Raw genomic sequence first — 20,433 nt, 5'->3', positions numbered from 1 at the left:
ACTCCTCATCCTGGACAAGGCAATAGGGGAAGGGAGAAGTAGTGGAAGAGACTCCCGCTCCCCCTGAAGACCATAATGTAGTCCAACTACTCTACTGTACAAATGGGAAAACTGAAGCCCTGGGAACTCCGAGTACTCTTGTCTTCAAAGCAGCTATACATAGGCTCTTTTTCATTCATGAGATTTACTCTGACCAACTACATGGAAGAAGACAAGGGTGAACAAGAGTTAATAAAACTGACAAATATTTGGGATCAAGAAAAGAAGTCCAGGTTTATATCAAAGTGTTAGTTAGACTAGACCAGCCACAACTCTGTTCTCTTCTATTTTGTTCCTGAAAGACTGGATATTCAGGCTGATCCTGCAGCCATGTAGGGTCCTTAGAGAATTTTTTTCTGTGTCTGGTTTTCAAGACTGGAACCTGGGCCTCACATGGGAGACAAGCTCTTCTCTATCTGGCACCCAAAGATGTCTAACCAGGTCTCCCGGCACAGCTCTGCGTGACTTTTGGTGACCTCTTTCACCCTGCCCGGGGGTCCCTTTGGAAACCTTTCCTTATCCTGGGCCTGAGCTTGCTGTCTGCAATGAGCATATCTGATAAGCAGCCAGCTGTTAAGGCTGATTCTACCTTGACCTCAGTCTCAGCAACTTTGCCTGTGGTTCTGGGTTGGAGTCTAGGTCCAGCTTCCCTGGCGGCCACTGGCCTCTATGGTGGGCAGCAGCATCCTAAGAGCCTTCCTGCTTTACCCCTATTGCTGTTTCACCAGCTGCTTTTAGCACACTACTGCCTCTTCCATCTTACACCTGTACTTGTGCTGTTCCTTTTACCAGGAAGGAAGGGTAGAAATGAACATGGGAACACCCTGTCAGGTGCTTTGACATACTCTCTCAAGCTTGATGTATCAGGTTTGAGGAGTGCCTCTGACCTGAAGCCTTTTTTCAGAGCAGAAATAGCATGTGTATTAAACCCATTGGATGGTCAGACCCTTTTGGCTGACATAGCCAGGACTGCTCACCCCTCTAGGGGAATTACAATTTTTCAGAATCAAAAATGCCTTAGACAACCAGAGTCTAGGCACGCATGACTTCCCCTCAGAGGAGAGGAGAATCATTTCCTTGCATGTTTTAAGTGCCCTCCTTGGTAGCCCTAGTCCTTTCAGGGAGAGTTTGTTAATTTTGCAAGGTTTCTGAAACTTCCTCATCCTAATAAGCTACACAGACCAAATTATTTTAAGCTAGAACTGAACTCTGCTCTGAACTGTGTTAAGCAATAGTGTAAGTCACCTGTGCTCAGTCCCCTGCCACCCTCTAAGTTCCCTTTATTCTGTGTGCCATCTGCAGTGGGATAATACCTTCAAAGCTTTCTTTGAGAAGTCCACATTTTATTAATAAAATTGTAATTACTTGTGTCAAAATGAACTCTGGGTTTTACCACTTCCGTATTTAGCTAGGTTTTTTTTTTTTTTTTTTTTTTTTTTTTTACACCATAAAACTTTGGAAGAAAATGTGCCAATGCTAACTTCTCATTTTTCACTGGTCAGACACACGCTTTGGTCTTTCACTTCTTGGAAATTAAGCCATTTCCACTTAAGGAAAACCATCAGTTGGTTTCTTTTAATAAATGAGGGCACAAGAGGTGCAGGTCCTGGAAGGGCTGGCCAGAAGTTCATGGTATGGTCCCTCGCAGCTAATGTTTTATGAAGGTGGTGACCAAGACGTACATGGTCATCCTTCTCTCACTAAGCATGAGAGCAGGGCCAGATAGACGGATGTGACCCAGGAATCATGGTAAAGCGTGATGTGCCTTACATGATGGGGGGGAGGAAGACGCTATCTGAACACACAGTGGGAACACGTAATGTCATCTGGAGGCTTGGGAAGGCCTCCCAAAAGAAGGACATTGATGCTAAAACCAGTGGGGTGAAAGGCTGTATAGAGGAGTGAGATACTCACCCCAGGGGGTTGGCAGGGTAGGGAGGGGTCTTAGGAGCCATTCTCAGCGGTATTGACACTTGAGGGTCATGAGGTTTCTTCCCCAGTCCATAACTGTCTGTAGCATGACAATGACAACACATGATCAGACACTGTACTCTGGCACCCACATGGTTTTATCACCTCAGCTAAGATTGGGATGGTCATGGGAGAGTTTCGTGCTGCCTGTGTGGAGAGCGGTCTCCAAAGAAAGGAACCTCCGTGGTTACAGAGGCGATGCTTCCAGTTTTTAGAATACAGCTTAAGGCTGGGCAAGGTGGCTCACGACTCTAATCCCAGCACTTTGCCGAGGTGGGCGCATCACCTGAGGTCAGGAGTTTGAAACCAGCCTGGCCAACATGGCAAAACCCCGTCTCTACTAAAAATACGAAAATTAGCCAGGTGTGGTCACTCATGCCTGTAATCCCAGTTACTCGGGAAGCTGAGGCAGGAGAATTGCTTGAAACCGGGGTGGGGGGTGGGCAGAGATCACGCCACTGCACTCCAGCCTGGGCAACAGAGTGAGACTCTGTCTCAAAAAAACAAAAAATAAAAATAAAAAATAGAATACAGCTTGAGTGTGAGTAGAGAGAAAAACGGGCCATGAAGCAGCTATTCCAATAGTCTCTCTCAGGGTTATAGGGGTCACTTGCAAGTTTCCTCTTCCTTTCTCCCTCTCTTGCCTTTCCCCACCCTATGGCAGAGATAGTTGTGTTTCTGCATTCCTTTGTGTTATCAGTAATAAAACCCAATCACATTTCCATTGGATTTGGTCTGAGCAGAAAGTCTGAGTCTCAGAAGAGACACTGCCCTGAGGAGCTCTGAAAGGGCACCTTTGGCTCACTGGGGTCACCACAAATGTCACCCCATAAGTGAATATGGACACAAGGACACGTAAATCCAGGTAGTGTAGCAGACAGAGCTGGACCTGATGTCTCTGCCACTAACTCACGAGTGACCTTGAGCAAAGTGTCTCACCTCTTGGGCCCCAGGGTCCACGCCTGTCAAGTTAGGGAGGTGGATGGATGCTTTCTAGATTCCTACCAAGTTTCAAAGCCCAGGAATCCTTGAAGGCAGAGACAGGAATGATAGGAGGTGAACAGGGTTGGCTGGTGGTGGAATGTTGCAGCCACCTGAGAGGTGTTTGAAGCAAGTGTTATATAGATCTTACAGGTAAGGTGGCCTAGCTGGGGCCACAAAATATAATATAGTAGCAGCTCCCAACTATAAGAGTGGCCATATGTATATTCAGACTAGAAAAGACTTTGGAATAGACCAACGTTGCTAACTGATCTGCTCTGTGTAGCCTGGGAAAATTGGGAACCATTATTAAATAAATAAACCCAGCTTCTCCTCCTGGCAGAGGGACACAGTCATGCATGTGAACCGCAGGTTCCTGACTGCAGTGGCAGGGATCTGCCGTGTGTCTTTCCATGCTGGGCTCCTCTTGGAACCTTGTCTATTCTCTATGTCTCTGCTGCCTTCGCCATTAGCAGGCGAATGGCCAGCACCTGGCACCTGACTTTCACATGGGCTGGAAGATGACTGCTGGGTTTTCTGAGGGCTCCTTTGAAGCTCCTCCAAGGGAATTTCATGTACTCCACAAAGCTCATATTTGAAGTGAGACCATTCCCAATATTCCTTCCGGATATCTTCAAAATTCTTCTAACAATGTTTATGTGTTATGGTAGCAGACAAAAACTTAAGTTTTCTCTGTCTGGAAGGAACTACATTTGAATTTTATTTTCAATGTTATATCATTTTTGCACAGCGTTAGTGTCATTGCTCATTTTGAATTTTCGCATCTTTTCGTTGTTTACAGTTTGGTTTTATAGAGCTATCATAAGGATAATGACAATTTGGGTAATAATGAGAAACAAAAGGGCACTGGAGTCAGGGCTACTGGGTTCAAATTTCAATTCTATTACTTGCTGACTGTGTTACTTTGGTATGTTAATCAACTTCAGTACCATCAGGAAAATGGGAGTGATAGTACTCACATAGTTGTGATGCATGAAAACTGCTTAGCGCGTAAGTGCTTGATAAATGGAAGCTACTATAATTATGTCTGGGAGGTACATCTTTATTATTAACACCATTATTTTTGCTAACAAGTATTAACAGCACTGCCACAATAAAGAATTTACTCCCAAGCGAGGCATTTACCTCACTTGGATGGGGTATAAAAAGTAACAGGGAGGCCGGGCGCGGTGGCTCATGACTGTAATCCCAGCACTTTGGGAGGCCGAGGTGGGTGGATCATGAGGTCAGCAGTTCGAGACCAGCCTGACCAACATGGTGAAACCCTGTCTCTACTCAAAATACAAAAAAATTAGCTGGGCGTGGTGGCGGGTGCCTGCAATCCCAGTGACTTGGGAGGCTGAGAGGCAGGAGACTCGCTTGAAACCAGAAGGCGGAGGTTGCAGTGAGCTGAGATTGCACCACTGCACTCTAGCCTGGGCATTAAGAGCAAACTCTGTCTCAGAAAAAAAAAAAAAAAAAAAAAAAAAAAGTACCAGGGCTGGGCATGGTGGCTCATACCTGTAATCCCAGCACTTTGGGAGGCCGAGCTGGGTGGATCACCTGAGGTCAGGAGTTTGAGACCAGCCTGGCCAACAAGGTGAAACCCCATCTCTACTAAAAGTGCAAAAATTAGCCAGGTGTGGTGGTGCAGGCTTGTAATCCCAGCTACTCTGGAGGCTGAGGCACGAGAATTGCTTGAACCCAGGAGGCAGAGGTTGTAGTCAGCTGAGATCATGCCACTGCACTCCAGCCTGGGTGACAGAGTGAGACTCTGTCTTAAAAAATAAAAAAATGGAATAAAAGAGTAACAGAACAGCTTCTTTTAGTTGTCTTACAAATTCTTTTTTCCTTCATACTGCCCGGGCACCCTGATGGTCATGGATGTGTCACTGATGGGCTGCAGAAATGAATGTTTACAAGTACCGAATTTAACTGTGCTGATGTATACTTATAGAATAAAGACCTCTTTTAAAATATAAATGGCACTTTAACAAAAGTTTTAAAATTCCTTTTTGAAACCAAAGTTCCTTGATTCCAGATTTTACTGAAGAGACTGCTCTAAGGTGATCAGTGAGTCTCCACTGTGTCTGAGAGTTCAGGCTTTGGTGTTTGCCTGCACAAGTTCAAAGATGGGCCCCGTTATTAGCTAGGAATAAGAGCTTAGGCAAATTGTTTGGTCTCTTTTCTCTGAAGATTGTGAAATGTGGGTAATCATTTTGAACACTTAACCCTCAAGATAAGCTGGTATTGATAATGATTTCTGTTTTTATTAATAATGATTTGTGTTTTTATTAAGAGTGTTTATGATCTCTTTACAGACAGAGCTCATAATGGATGCTATCCATAAACAAAAGAGCTTACAATTCAAGAAAACCATGGATGTGAGTCACATTTTATTGTCTTTTTTGGGATAATGGTGACATTTTCTGAAATCCTGTGCTGTGTATGAACATATTCCTACTCAAATAACATTTCAAAAATGTTATTATTTATTAGTGCAGTGTTTTAGGGAAAACAACCTTAAATGCTTTGGGTTTTCTTTTTTGTTGTTGTTGTACATATTATTACATTACCCAGAGATTAAGTTCAGTACCCAATAGTTATCTTTTCTGCTCCTCTCCCTCCTCTCACCCTCCCTCTCAATTAGACCCCAGTGTCTGTTATTTCCTTCTTTATATTCATAAGTTCTTATCATTTAGCTCCCACTTATAAGTGAGAACATGTGGTATTTGGTTTTCTGTTCCTGCATTAGTTTGCTAAGGATGATAGCCTCCAGTTCTATCCATGTTTCCTCAAAAGACATGATTTCATTCTTTTTTATGGTTGCATAGTATTCCATGGTGTATATGTACCACATATTCTTTATCCAGTCTGTCATTGATTGGCATTTAGGTTGATTCCGTGTCTTTGCTATTATGAACAGTGCTGCAATGAACATTCACGTGCATGTGTCTTTAGGGTAGAATGCTTTATATTCCTCTGGGTGTATACCCAGTAATGGGATTGCTGGGTCAAATGGTAGTTCTGCTTTTAGTTCTTTGAGGAATCTCCATACTGCTTTCCACAATGGTTGAACCAATTTATACTCCCACCAACAGTGTATAAGGTTTTTCTTTTTTTAAGGCCTTGGAAAGATTGAAAGTGACACTAGATAGTGGAAATGCAACAGGGTTATCTTTCTGGTAACCCGAGAAAATATAGCAAGTCAGTTCAAATATTTTAGGCAAAGATACAAAAACATATATAGTGTACAATACCCTTTATCTTATAGAATTTGCAATTTTACCCTGTTACTATTTTGAATCTTGATTGCTTACCTATTTTATTGAGTGATCCCTTTCTGTTTTAAGATATCTGAAAATTATAAAAACTTTTCCTTTAAGTAATTTATTTAAAAAATGTTGGCAAGACAGAGATTGGACAAGTTGCTAGAAATCTCTCTCTAGCTTTTATGTATCTGTTGACTCTGGATACAACAAACTCTGTTATTAGAACATATATGACTCCATCTTGACACCGAAGTATCATCATGATATTCTACGAGTAGGATGTAATAGGGAAGTGTCACCAGTGTTGATAGCATATGCAATCTGTTCTGCTGCATTCTTTTTCTCCTTGATGCAGAAATCCCTCAAAAACAATTGATAAATAGGGAATGATGTCAGTGTAATACAGAAATAGTGTTAGTTGATAGATGATTTTTCCCAGACCTTTTATATTTTAAACAATCTGGGGCAAGATTTTTTATAATTAAAGAGAAAGGCTTATCAAAATATAACTTTCTGGCTGGGTATAGTGGCTCACACCTGTAATCCCAGCACTTCGGGAGGCCGAGGCAGGTGGATCACCTGAGGTCAGGAGTTCGAGACCAGCCTGGCCAACATGGCAAAACCGCGACTCTACTAAAAATACAAAAAAAAAAAAAATTAGCTGGGTGTGGTGGTGTGCACCTGTAATCCCAGCTACTTGGGAAGTTGAGGCAGGAGAATCGCTTGAACCCAGGAGGTGGAGGTTGCGGTGAGCCGAGATCGCACTATTGCATACTCCAGCCTGGGCAACAAGAGTGAAACTCTGTCTCAAAAAAAAAAAAAAAAACTCTGAAAGGGGGAGAGAAGAAGGCACACTGGCTAGTGACCTTGGACTCAAAGAACAACCTGACAAGGGTTCCCTGGGCTTTCTTTTTGCCTCATTTATCACAGACTGAGTGCCAAAGAAGCAGGCATCCCAGAAATGCCAATGGTCATAGACCAAAAATTAAAAAAATAAAAAAAATAAATAAAAAGCTCCAAGAAAAACCTGTTCTCTCTAACCAAAAGACCAGAAAAGGGGCAGCCTAGCAGGACAGAAACTTTAGAAAATAACCATTCTACTGCAGCCAAACACCACGTAAAAAACCTGGGGACCCACCTCCACACATCAGCAAAGGCCAAGTGGAGAGTCTAAACTTCCACCACACCAGGCTGTAGAGAGCACCCAACTCCCCTGCCAAGGTGGCAACAGAGAACAAATAGGGGACCAGGACTTTCACTCCCACCAGGAGGTAACAGAGCCTCCTCTACACAGTGTTATTGGGAGCTATGTGGGGAACCCTGACTTCCACCTGCACCGGGAAATAATGATGTACACCCTCTCCCTCCTGGGATGGTGTCTAAGGAGGTCTAGTGGAGAGTGAGAACTTTAACCACTTTCCAGTAGTAACTGGGTCACACACACTCTGTGGTGTCAGTGGAGACCAAGGAGGGGAAACCTGGACTTTCACACTCACATGACAGTAATGAGATGATGCCTCACCTTCCCCTGCTGGAGTGGTGTCCTGAGGAAGCTAGCTAAAACAGAAGCCTTAAATAAAATCCAGAGTCTTGTAACATAATACCAAAAATTCCCCCAAATCAATCAAATATCACTCTTCATACCAGAAAGATACGAAACTCCATGAAAAGAAAGACAATCAATAGCTGCCAAGATCTAGATAACAGAGATGTTGGAATTATGTGACGAAGATTTTACAGCATCCACTATCAAAATATTCAGCAAGCAATTACAAAGACACTTTTTTTGAGATGGGGGGGTCTCACAATGTTGCCCAGGCTGGCCTTGAATTCCTGGGCTCAAGTGATTCTCCTACCTCAGCCTCCTGAGTAGCTGGAATTACAGGCATGTGCCACTACACCTGATTCACACTTGAAACAAATGAAAGAAACAAAGGAAGGACTGGCAAAGAAATAGAAAAGCTCAGCAAAGAAATAGAAGATATAAAGATGAACCAAATGGAAATTTTAGAACTGAAAAATATAATAATCAAAATTTTAGAAAACCCAATATGTGGGCTTAAGAAGAGAATGGAAGAGACAGAAGAAAGAATTGGTTAACTGGAAGACAGAATAATATAAATTACCAGACATGAACAACAGAGAGAAAATAAGCTGAAAAAAATTAACAGAGCCTCAGGGACTTTTTGCACTATAAGAAAAGATCTAACACTAATGTCTCTGTGATACTAAAAGGTGAGGAGAAGGAAGGTGGGCTGAAAAAGCCCAGCTTTATGTCATTATTTGAAGAAATAATGGCTGAAAAATTTCCAAATTTAGCAAAAGACATAAATCTATATATCCCAGAGGCTGATTAAACTGTAACCAAGATAAACCCAAAGAAATCCATACCAAGACATATAATCGAACTTCTGAAAACTAAATGAGAGAGAAATGACACCTTCACTAAAAGGGAAAACCTAAAAGGGAAAACCAATGACAGCAGATTTCCTATTAGAAACCATGGAGACTATGAGGAAGTGGCACAACATATCGCAAATGCTGAAAGAAAAGAACTGTTAACACATAACCCCATATCCAGTGAAAATATCTTCTAAAACTGAAGGGGATGATAGCATGATATGGTGATTATAGTCAATAATCACTTAATTATATATTTTTAAATAACTTAAAGAATGTAATTGGATTGTTTGTAACTCAAAGAATAAATGCTTGAGGGGATGGATGCCCCATTCTCCATGATGTGCTTATTTTGCATTGCATGCCTGCATCAAAACATCTCATATACCCCATAAGTATATAAACCTACTATGTACCCACAAAAATTTTTTTAAATTAAAAAAAAATAATGAAAGGGAGACAGAACATAGAATGGTGGTTGCTAAGGGCTGGGGAAAGAAGAAGTTGAGATGTTATTGTTTAACGGGCATAGAATTTCAGTTTTATAAGATAAAAAGAGTTACGGAGATGGATGGTGGTGATGGTTATGTAACTTTATAAATGTATCTAATACCACTGAATTGAACACTTACAGTGGTTACAATGGGAGAAAATATGCAAATTATTCATCTGACAAGAGACTAATATCCAAAATACACAAGGAACTCAAACAACTCAACAGCAAAGAAAAAAAACAAACAATTGGTTAAAAAAATGGGCAACGGATCTGAGTAGACATTTCTCAAAAGAAGACATACAAATGGCAAACAAATATATTTTTTAATGCTCAACATCACTAATCATCAGAGAACTACAACTTAAAACCACAATGAGATACCATCTCACCCCAGTTAGGATGGCTGTTATCAAAAAGACAAAAAATAACAAATGCTGACAAGGCTTTAAAGAAAAAGGAACTCTTACACACTGTTGGTGGGAATGTAAACTAGTACAGCCACTATGGAGAACAGTATGGAGATTTCTCAAAAAACTACAAATAGACTTACTATATGATCTAACAGTCCCACTACCAGGTATTTATCCAAAGGAAAGGAAATCAGTAGATCAAAGGGTTTATTTCACTTAACATAATGTCCTTCAGGCTTATCCATGTTGCCACTGATGACAGGATTTCATTATTTTTATAGTGGAGTAGTGTTCCATTGTGTATATGTGCCGTATTTTCTTTATTTATCTTAGTCAACCATTCTTTCTCATCATTTTTATTTATTAGCTAACTGATTCACAGCTTTGTTGGTTTTCTTCCCACTTCCTGGAATTAAGATAAAACAGCTTTGGTGTTTAAAAAAGTCTTTGCTTTCACAGTTGAAACAGAAAATTATTTTTATGATTCACTAATGATTATAGTTTGTGATCTGTTTCCATAATACTGGTGGCAATGGTAGCACACGATAGACCATGGCCTACGTTTAAACTACATAAAACAGAATTCTTTAAATAAAAAAAGAACACTGGCTGGGTGCAGTGGCTCATGCCTGTAATCCCAGCACTTTGGGAGGCCGAGGCGGGTGGATCACCTGAGGTCAGGAGTTCGAGACCAGCCTGGCCAACATAGTGAAACCCTGTCTCTACTGAAAACACAAAAATCAGCGGGGCATGATGTTTGCTTGCCTGTAGTCCCAGCTACTAGGGAGACTGAGGCAGGAGAATCGCTTGAACCCAGGAGTCAGAGGCTGCAGTGAGCCGAGATTGCACTACTGCACTCCTGCTTGTGTGACAAAGCTAGACTCTGTCTCAATAAATAAATAAATAAGGAACATGACTATCTTTAAGCAAAATAAATGATGGCATTGGTAACCTGCCGGCTGTTCACATGCTGTGGTGAATATTGAGGCCTCGTTAGAATTAGAGTGAGTTGGTGCCAAATAACCAAGTGTTTGTACAGGCATTCTTAGGATTATGAATGTTTCATAAATTTTAGACCACACGTTTTAGAGTTACGTAACTATTTTAATTGTTGTTGTTGTTGTTATTGTTATTTTGAGACAGGGTCTCACCCTTTCGCCCAGGCTGGAGTGCAGTGGCATGATCATAGCTCACTGCAGCCTTGAACTCCTGGGCACAAGCGACCCTCCCAGCTCAGCCTCCCAAGTAGCTGGGACCACAGGTGTGTGCCACCATGCCTAGCTAAGTTTTGTGTTTTTTGTAGAGATGGGGTTTCATTCATTTTGCCCAGGCTTGTCTTGAACTTCTGGGCTCAAGCAATCCACCCACTTAAGCCTCTCAGAGTGTTGGGATTACAGGCGTGAGCCATGGTGCCTGGCCTTAATTTTGTCTATTTCAAATTCCATCTTTCGTTTCAGTCCATTTTTAAAGCTCATGTACTTTATGTTGCCAAATAGGAGCTATTACTTCCTTGATCAGGTTGCCACTATTACATAATTTGAAAAAGGGCTAGAGAGAGAGAGTGAGCTTTCAAAGACTGATAAGAAAAAGCATCTGCCCTCTGGGAGCCCATGGCTTAGTGACAATCAGAGCACTAATCAGACGGCCCTGTCCATGCTGGACTTCCTGGGCCAAGGGGGCTGCATTTCATGGTTACACTCTGTTCATTTGTTTTGGTTCTCTTTGTTCATAATGACAAAGGCAAAGAAGAACTATGAGCAGAAATGCCGGGACAAAGATGAGGCAGAACAGGCCGTCAGCCGGAGTGCCAACCTGGTGAACCCGAAGCAACAAGAAAAGGTACCCAGGAGGGCTAACAACCCGAAAAATCTGAGACTGACCTATGTCAGGCTAAAGCCAATTATGAATCTTCATAAGAAATGAACCTGTATCCTAAACCCCTGGAAATATCTTCCTTCATGTATTGGGGGTCTTCTGAACCTGAAAAACCACTGCCACATATTTGGGGGTTAGGGGAAGAGCGACAGAAGCATGGCTATGAGGGAGGGAGATGGGGTGATAAGAGGTTGGAGGGATTTCCCAGTTGTTGTCATTTTTCTTAAAGACTCAGTTCATGTATTCTTTGTAGTCAGGCTGCCTTTTGCTTGGGTGGATTACAAATTTAACTTTGTAAAATCTAGATACAAGATTTCTGCAACCAGAGGGCTGGGTGTGTCTTTAGGAAGACACTGGGCAAGATGCTTTATGGATATTTTCCAAGATTGATAAGATTGCAGGGCACGTTGAATGATTTGCTCATGAGGGAAATGTACACAGGACTTGCACTAGACCTGGTCTCTTCATAGTTACTGCTTTTCAATCTGTTTTGCCTGTGGAAGCCTCGTCCAGCATTCCCAATGCTTGCTCTTTTTTTGTTTGTTTGTTTGTTTTCACAGCTTTTTGTGAAACTGGCAACTTCAAAGACCGCAGTAGAGGACTCAGGTGAGGGGGCAGTTCCTACGGATGGGGGAGGGTTGCTGGTGGGGTTTACGTTATCCTAAATGTGTCCCTGAGAAAGGGAGTTTTATATACCTTAAAGAGAGAATATATGGATATTCAGCAGGATTAGTGAGATATCTGAAGGGAAAAAGGGAGGAAGGAAGGGAGAGAGTAAGGAAGGGAGGGAGGAAAGGAAAGAAGAGGAGAGAGGAAGGGAGGGTATATTAGAACCCCGGAAGGTGGGAGGAGGCTATGAGGCCACTGTTTCTGGCTTCTGTCTGCTTAGATCTTGCTGCCTTACATGGGAGTGAGATGGTGGAGTCATGTGGTAGCGGCTTTGCAATCAGGTGCTTCCTCTGATGTATTGGGGCATCTATCTAAAAGACCATTTCAGCCCCGGTAGCTCTTATCTGCTGTGAAACAGCCAAGCTGCAAGGCCTTGTTATCACTGAAATCTAAGACCCAAACCAGGCATTTGCAAAAGCTTCTAATTCCCAGAATATCCTGCAGGAAATATCCCTCATGACTGTGGTGGTTATGTACATCTTAATCTCTACATTTGAAACTAAAGTAACTTGGTGCCCCTTTAGGGCTCAAGGTAGTTCTCTTCTCTGCATCCTTCATCAGACAATTTTGAAAATGAAAAGCGATGGGAAATACTGAGGTGGAATTACACAAACAAAACCCTGGCTGAGGTTTCTTATCAGCTTTCACTTCTTCCTTAGAACCTTTCTTTCTCAATGTTAGGTCCAATGTTTAAAAAGAAAGTGATACCCTCCTTTGCCTACTTCACCAAATATGATGAGGGTGAGAGATGCAATAACTCCCAGTGCTCAGAGTCCTGGGGGCCTTGTAAGCTCAGCACAACTCGGATGAGTTTCTTTTGCCATCTGAGACCAGCCTGTGGGTGTATCTGCGAGCCACCTTCCTGTCTAGTTTCTGACCCAGGTCTCTCCCTTCTGTTGCAGACAAAGCATACATGCTGCACATCGGCACCCTGGATAAGGTCCGAGAAGAGTGGCAGAGTGAGCACATCAAGGCCTGCGAGGTACCCGTAACCGGAAGCTGCTCAGGACTGGGGTGGGTGGGTGGGGGTGTGTGTAACAGGAAGCTGCTCAGGACGGGGGGGGGAGGGGAGGAGGGGGAGGGGAGGGAGGGAAGGGGGAGTGGGGCCGGGGGTTGGGGGAGGACGAGGGGGCGGGAGGTGGGTCTTCTGCCCAGAACCTGGAGAGTCTACTTTTGTAGAAATGATCTGCCCGGATTCTCATAGGGTTACAGAGCTTGAGGGCAAATTAGAAATCAGAAATTTGGCCAGGCACGGTGGCCCATGCCTGTAATCCCAGCACTTTGGGAGGCCGAGGTGGGTGGATCACCTGAGGTCAGGAGTTCAAGACCATCTGGCCAACATGGTGAAACCCTGTCTCTACTAAAAATACAAAAATTAGCCGGGTGTGGTGGCGCACACCTGTAATCCCAGCTATTCTAGAGGCTGAGGCAGGAGTATAGCTTGAACCTGGGAGGCGGAAGTTGCAGTGAGCCAAGATAGTGCCATTGCACTCCAGCCTGGGCGACAGAACAAGACTCCGTCTCCAAGAAAACAAACAAACAAAAAAAGAAATCAGAAATTTAAGTGAAGAATGGAAGGAACTGGAATAGTTTTCCCCAAACCTTGTCTGCCTCATCCCCATCCTGACCATGCTGTCCAACAGTTCAAATTTTAGTCTAATGTTGGGTTAGCACAAGCATAGAATAGCTGAATCAGTTAATGGTCGATTAAGTAATTATCTTTGGAGAGCCCGGCCTCAATAGGCTCTAAAGGGAATGCCAACAGCAAGTGAGTAGGCTTTGGAGATTTGTTTGTTTGCTTTTTGTTTTGAGTCTGGGTCTCACTCTGTCGCCCAGGCTGGAGTGCAGTGGCATGATCAGAGCTCACTGCAGCCTGAAACCCCATGAGCTCAAGTGAAGTAGATGGGACTACAGGCGTGCACCACCACGCCTTGTTAATTATTTATTATTTATTTTATTTTTAAAGAGACAGGGACTTGCTCTGTTGCCCAGGCTGGTCTTGAGCTCCTGGGTCTCAAGCAATCCTTCCACCTTTGCCTCCTGAGTTGCCAGGGTTACAGGCATGAGCCACCATGCCTGGCTGGAGGGTTTTCTTTTTTTTTTTTACTCTCCTCATACCTTCAATTTCACCACTGCTCCCTTTCTTTTGCAGCAAATGACCTCACAATTTCCAAGAGAAAATAAAAAACATAACTTGGAAGCTTGCTTAAGTTTCTGTCATCCTGCCTACACATTTTCTTCCAGTGGTTCTCAAAGTGAGGTCCTAGGACTGGTAGCATCAGCATCACCTGGGAACTTGTTAGAAATGCAGGTTCTCAGACCAACCTCAGACCTACCGAATCAGAAACTCTGGGGGTAAAGCCCAGCAATCTCTGTGCTAATAAGCCTTCCAAGTGATTTTGATGGGAATTCAAGTATAAGAATCATTGACAGACACGCCTGCCCCACTCCTTTTTTCCTGTTAGCACAGAAAAGGGGCTGTTCCTTCCTTGTTCAAGATCTTTTTTCATCCAGCTTGCCTTTCCCCACCTTCTTGGGCATGGAGAACTTGTCAACTTCTGTTATCTTGCACACAGACTCAACTCTCTCCTAGCTTTAAAACCCACCAGTTCAGCCAGGCATGGTGGCTGCTAATGCCTGTAATCCCAGCACTTTGGGAGGCCAAGGCAGGCAGATCACCTGAGGTCAGGAGTTCAAGACCAGTCTGGACAACATAGTGAAACCCAGTCTCTACTAAAAATACAAAAATTAGCTGGATGTGGTGGCAAGCACCTGTAATCCCAGCTACTTGGGAGGCTGAGGTGGGAAAATCACTTGAGCCCGGGAGGTGGAGGTTTCAGTGAGCTGAGATCATGCCACTACACTCTAGCCTGGGCAACAGAGTTAGACTCCATCTCAAAAAAACCCAAAAAGCAAAAAACAAAACCAGCAGTTCTTACTTTCTATCTACGACCCCTACTACCCCCGCCCTTCTTCACAGCCACGCTTTTTGAAGGGGCTGTCTCCAAGTCCATGTTGTCCTGACTGCCCCAGCCTGCAGCATCTGGGATTTGCTTCCCTGCAGCTGCTGTCTTGGAGGGCACCAGAATCCCTTGGCATGAGGGCCAGTGGGCCTTTGCAGTTTCTAATCTTATTTGATCTCTCTTTGCCATCTGATACTGTAGGTTATTATGCTTCTCCTAAAACACTGTTTTCTGCTTTACTTCTGTAACTCCACACTCTTAGGGGAAAGCCTAGAATGAGGCCATTTTTTAATAAGGTTTAAAAACATGTAAAGCAATATCATGTACATATACAGATACATATATAGTGTAAAAACCTGCATAAAGGCCAGGTGCGGTGGCTCACACCTATAATCCCAGCACTTTCAGAGGCTGATGCGGGTGGATTGCTTGAGCCCAGGAGTTCAAGACCAGCCTGGGCAACACAGCGAAATTTTGTCTCTACAAAGAAATATAAAAATTAGCCGGGCATGGTGGTAGAGGCTACTTGGGAACCTGAGGCGGGAGAATTGCTTGAGCCCACGAGTTTGAGGCTGCAGTGAGCCATGAGCGCACCACTGCTCTCCAGCCTGGGTGACAAAGTGAGACCCTGTCTCAAAACAAAACAAAATAAAACCCCCCAAAACCAAACAACGAAACAACCCCTTCCCCATAAAAAACAAAACAAAACAAAACAAACCCTGCATAGGAATGATACAATTCAGGATAATGGCTATCTGGGGAAGGAGGAAGGTGATAGAAACTGGGTAAATCACACAGGGGCTTTTACAGAATCTGAAAAAATATGGCTGAAGTTTTTGACAAAGCTAGGTAGTTGGTATATAGGTATTTATTATACTGCTTTCTGATTCTATGTGAAATATTCCATAACAACAATAATGTAATATTATTAAATTATTATACTATGTTATATAGATATAAAAATATTTAGAGGTGAAATAATGCATTTGCTTCAAAATACTCCAGAGAGTAGGGTAATTGGTAGAGATATAGATAAAATAGAATCGGTTGTGAGTTGATAAATGTTTAAGCTGGTGATGAGTACATAGGGATTCATCATACTATCTGTACCTCTCTACACTTGTATATGTTGGAAGTTTTGTTTTATTTTATAACAAGTTTTAAAATGTAGCAAATTTTAAAAGGCATTCAAAATTTTTTGGTTTTGAATAAAACCTGTAGTATGAGATATGAAATTGAATCAGAAACTGTGGGGGTAGAGCTCAGCAATCTCTATGCTAATAAACCTTCCAAGTGATTCTGATGTGAATTCAAGTATGAGAACCACTTATAGCTATACCTGTCCCCATCCTTTTCTCCTCATAGAGTGGAAAAGGGGCTGTGGTATATAAAAGCTATGGTATGTAAAATTCATTCATGTTAAAAATAGCTATGGTATTCAATATTTTAAAAATACACTGATGTATCACATCCACTGTTGAATAGAATACCATCTGCTTCATAGAACAGCTTGATTTTTTTAAAGGTGATATTTGTTTATATCCAAAATACTGTATCTCAGGCAATGACTTTTATTTTAACCCTTTTTTTAAGGAAAAACAATTAAACATACACAAAGACAGAAGACAAGTACACGGCCTCCCATGTACTCATCAATCAGCATCAACAATTATGACCATCTTGCCAGTCAAACTCATTCATTCCAGGGTGGGAGGGGCAGCATTTTGAATCTGAGGCTCTGGCAGGCTGCTCAGGTGGAGATGATGTTAGATAGTTGGAAATGTCGGTAGGAACTCAGTTAGAACATTGGTATCTGGGATCATCATTACTTTTTACCCTCAGAACTATTTCCAAGCCTGTTTGTGTTACTGTGATATTAGGATTTGTTTGCATTCTTTGTGATATGAGTTTATGAGTTTCCTCAGTGGTGGGGGAGAAGCATTCTAAATTGGACAATAAGTTTACAGATAACTGAAGGTTGACACTGTTTCTTAAGTCACAGCTAGCCAAAATGAATGGTCCTTTTCCTTGCATATCTATGTACACGTAGCTATTTTTCTGTAGGCATTTGAGGCTCAAGAATGTGAACGAATAAACTTCTTCCGGAATGCATTGTGGTTACATGTGAATCAGCTGTCACAACAATGTGTCACCAGTGATGAAGTAAGTCAGAGGCATCCACTGAGGATTGTCGTGTGCATGTTGGATACATTAGAGTAGAAGGAACTATAGATATTGATTGGTTCACTTTGCCCTTGGTGAAGTAAGGTGACTTGCCTAAGGCCATACAGTGAGTTGACAGAAGGATGCAGATAACATGTAACCTGACTCCTGGCTCATTTGCCACCATGATTTTCTCATTAAGAGATTCATGGCTGGGAGCGGTGGTTCACTCCTGTAATCTCAGAACTTTGGGAGGCTGAGACGGGTGGATCACCCGAGGTCAGGAGTTTGAGACCAGCCTGGCCAACATGGTGAAACTCCGTCTCTACTAAAAATGCAAAAATTAGCTGGGCATGGTGGTGCACCCCTGTAATCCCAGCTACTCAGGGGGCTGAGGTGGGAGAATTGCTTGAACCCAGGAGGCGGAGGCTGCAGTGAGCCAAGATCGTGCCACTGCACTCCAGCCTCGGCGACACAGTGAGACTCCATCTCAAAAAAAGAAAAAAAATTCAGCCAAGGCTTTTGTCCTGCCACAAAGATACATTTTCTGTCATCTTTAAAAAATTAATAGTAAATGTAGGCTGGGCACGGTGGCTTACACCTGTAATCCCAGCACTTTGGGAGGCCAAGGCAGGCGGATTGCCTGTGGTCAGGAGTTCGAGACCAGTCTGGCCAACATGGTGAAACCCCGTCTCTACTAAAAATGCAAAAAAAATTAGCCAGACGTGGTGGCATGTGCCTCTAATCCCAGCTACTTGGGAGGCTGAGGCAGGGGAATTGCTTCAGCCAGGGAGGTGGAGGTTGCAGTGAGCTGAGATTGCACCACTGCACTGCACTGCAGCCTGGGTGACAGAGCGAGACTCTGTCTAAAAAAAAATAATAAAATAAAAAATAAAAAATTAATAGCAGATGTGCATCAGAGAAAAGCTCCAATATGAATCTGGGACTTTGGAATGTGTTCTTTTTTTTTGAAAACAAGAAAATTTGGAAGAGTCAGCTCTCTATCAAACCCATGTTTTTTTGTTTTTTTGTTTTTTTTTTTGAGACGGAGTCTCGCACTGTCGCCTGGGGTTGGAGTGCAGTGGTGTGATCTTGGCTCACTGCAATCTCCACCTCCTGGGTTCAAGTGATTCTCCTGCCTCAGCTTCCCAAGTAGCTGGGATTACAGGCGCCTGCCACCATGCCTGGCTAATTTTTTGTATTTTAAACAGAGATGGGGTTTCACTATGTTGGCCAGGCTGGTCTCGAACTCCTGACCTTGTGATCCGCCCACCCCAACCTCCCAAAATGCTGGGATTACAGACATGAGCCACTGCGCCCCGCCTCAAACCCATGTTTTTAAGGAGCTGTGTCACAATGATCTCAACATACCTCTACCTATTAATTGACCTTTTTTTATTAGATGTACGAACAAGTCCGAAAGAGTTTAGAAATGTGCAGCATTCAGAGGGACATTGAATACTTTGTGAATCAACGCAAAACTGGACAGATTCCACCAGGTGAATGGGGCAGTGGGGTGGGGAGTGTTATTTACACAATTCTATTAGCCTTTCTTGTTAGATGTCATTAAGGATGAAAGACGCCTGCCTCTTCATGTCCTGTTTCTTGGTGACTCTCCTAGCACCCATCATGTATGAGAATTTCTACTCCTCCCAGAAGAATGCAGTCCCAGCAGGAAAGGCTACAGGGCCTAACTTGGCAAGGTAATAACCAGCTGCCTTTCATATGAAGAAAAATACTTTTAACAAACATTGTTATCATGAATGTTCTAAGACATGTTAGAATTGGAACATATCTACTACTGCATCTGCTTAATAAGGCTGCTTGCTTTTTGGAAATAGTATTTTTAGGACAAATATTAAGTGGATTTTAATAGTCATAGTTCAGGGAGGAGTATATCATGCTTGAACTTGATCATTGTTATTCATGGATGAATCCTATACTTTTCTTATAGTCTGTAGAAATCCTATACTTTTCTTACAGCCAGTCAGCAAACTATGGCCCCTGAGAGTTAAATCCATTTTTATAGGGCCTGTGAGTTAAGAATAGTCTTTACATTTTTAAATGGCTGGAAAAAAGTCAAGACAATACTGTTTTGTGACATGTGAGAATTATTTGAATTTCAAATTTCAGTGTTCCTCTATCAAGTTTTATGGGCACACAAGCACCCTCACTCACTGAGGTTTTGTCTATGGCTGCTTTGCCACTAGAGTTGAGTAGAGTTGCAAGAGAGACGGGAGGTGGCCAGCAAAGTCTAAATCATTTACTACTTGGCCCTTTACTCAAAAAGTTCGCTGCCGTTCATGTAAAGGATCCTGCGGAAAGAGAAACTTCTGTTTGACATAGTCAGCTTGCAGTCTAAGCTTTTGAATTTTCACTCCAGTTTTAGTAAAGATGGGGAGTGCCTGGGAAGGATTGCATGATCATTATCAGTATTTAAGCGTGTCAGGCACTGTTCAAAACAGTTAGTGTGAATTACCTGATTTAATCCCCACAATGAGGTGGGAGCTGTTTATACTTCCTATTTTACTTATGAGGATGCGGATGTTCAAGGCACTCAGGAAGTCTTTCCTACCCAGCTAAGATTTTAATCCTGCCAGTCCGGGTTGTGGGGATAAGGCTCTGTGCTCCTAATCACTATGCATGCTGCCTCTTGCCATAGTACGACGTCTGCAACTTAGATTTCCGTAGGTCAGTGCTACAGATCATTTGCTTTAGGTGAGCTTTCTTGACCCTCCAGTGCAGAAACCAGATCTGATTAGAGTACAATAGGCTTGTAGCAAGAAGTAAAAAGATTATAAAAATAACAAGAACTTATCTAAAATACTTTGGTTTTCATTTCTTACAGGAGAGGACCCCTCCCAATTCCTAAAAGCTCACCAGGTATGCCACTAAAAAAGGTCTTTTGAAATTCTTATATTGCAAGGCAGGCAGATCACTTGAGGTCAGGAGTTTGAGACCAGCCTGGTCAACATGGTGAAACCCTGTCTCCACTAAAAATACAAAAATTAGCTGGGTGTGGTGGTGCGTGCCTGTAATCCCAGCTACTCAGGAGGCTGAGCCACAAGAATTGTTTGAACCTGGGAGGTGGAGGATGCAGTGAGCCAAGATTGCACCACTGCACTCCAGCCTGGTGACAGAGTCAAACTGTGTCAACAAACAAACAAACAAACAAACAAAAAAACCCCAAAAAA

The 20,433-nt window shown here is 42.7% G+C and overlaps 1 protein-coding gene across 1 annotated transcript in view; it reads left to right on the top strand.

Moving 5' to 3' along the window:
- PSTPIP2 (proline-serine-threonine phosphatase interacting protein 2) overlaps positions 1-20,433 on the top strand; it is an 88,725-nt gene that overhangs the window by 61,417 nt on the left and 6,875 nt on the right. Inside the window, exons 6-13 of the mRNA NM_024430.4 lie at positions 5,313-5,375; positions 11,310-11,408; positions 12,005-12,050; positions 13,016-13,095; positions 17,141-17,239; positions 18,642-18,738; positions 18,861-18,942; positions 20,088-20,122. Of these exons, the coding sequence (NP_077748.3) occupies positions 5,313-5,375; positions 11,310-11,408; positions 12,005-12,050; positions 13,016-13,095; positions 17,141-17,239; positions 18,642-18,738; positions 18,861-18,942; positions 20,088-20,122 (601 nt within the window). The remainder of the gene's footprint in view (positions 1-5,312; positions 5,376-11,309; positions 11,409-12,004; positions 12,051-13,015; positions 13,096-17,140; positions 17,240-18,641; positions 18,739-18,860; positions 18,943-20,087; positions 20,123-20,433) is intronic.

The sequence above is a fragment of the Homo sapiens genome, chromosome 18 (assembly GCF_000001405.40).
Source record: "Homo sapiens chromosome 18, GRCh38.p14 Primary Assembly".
Classification (NCBI taxonomy): Eukaryota; Metazoa; Chordata; class Mammalia; order Primates; family Hominidae; genus Homo; species Homo sapiens.
Note: the sequence above shows the minus strand (reverse complement) of the source record. Positions and strands in the feature narration are given on the sequence as shown.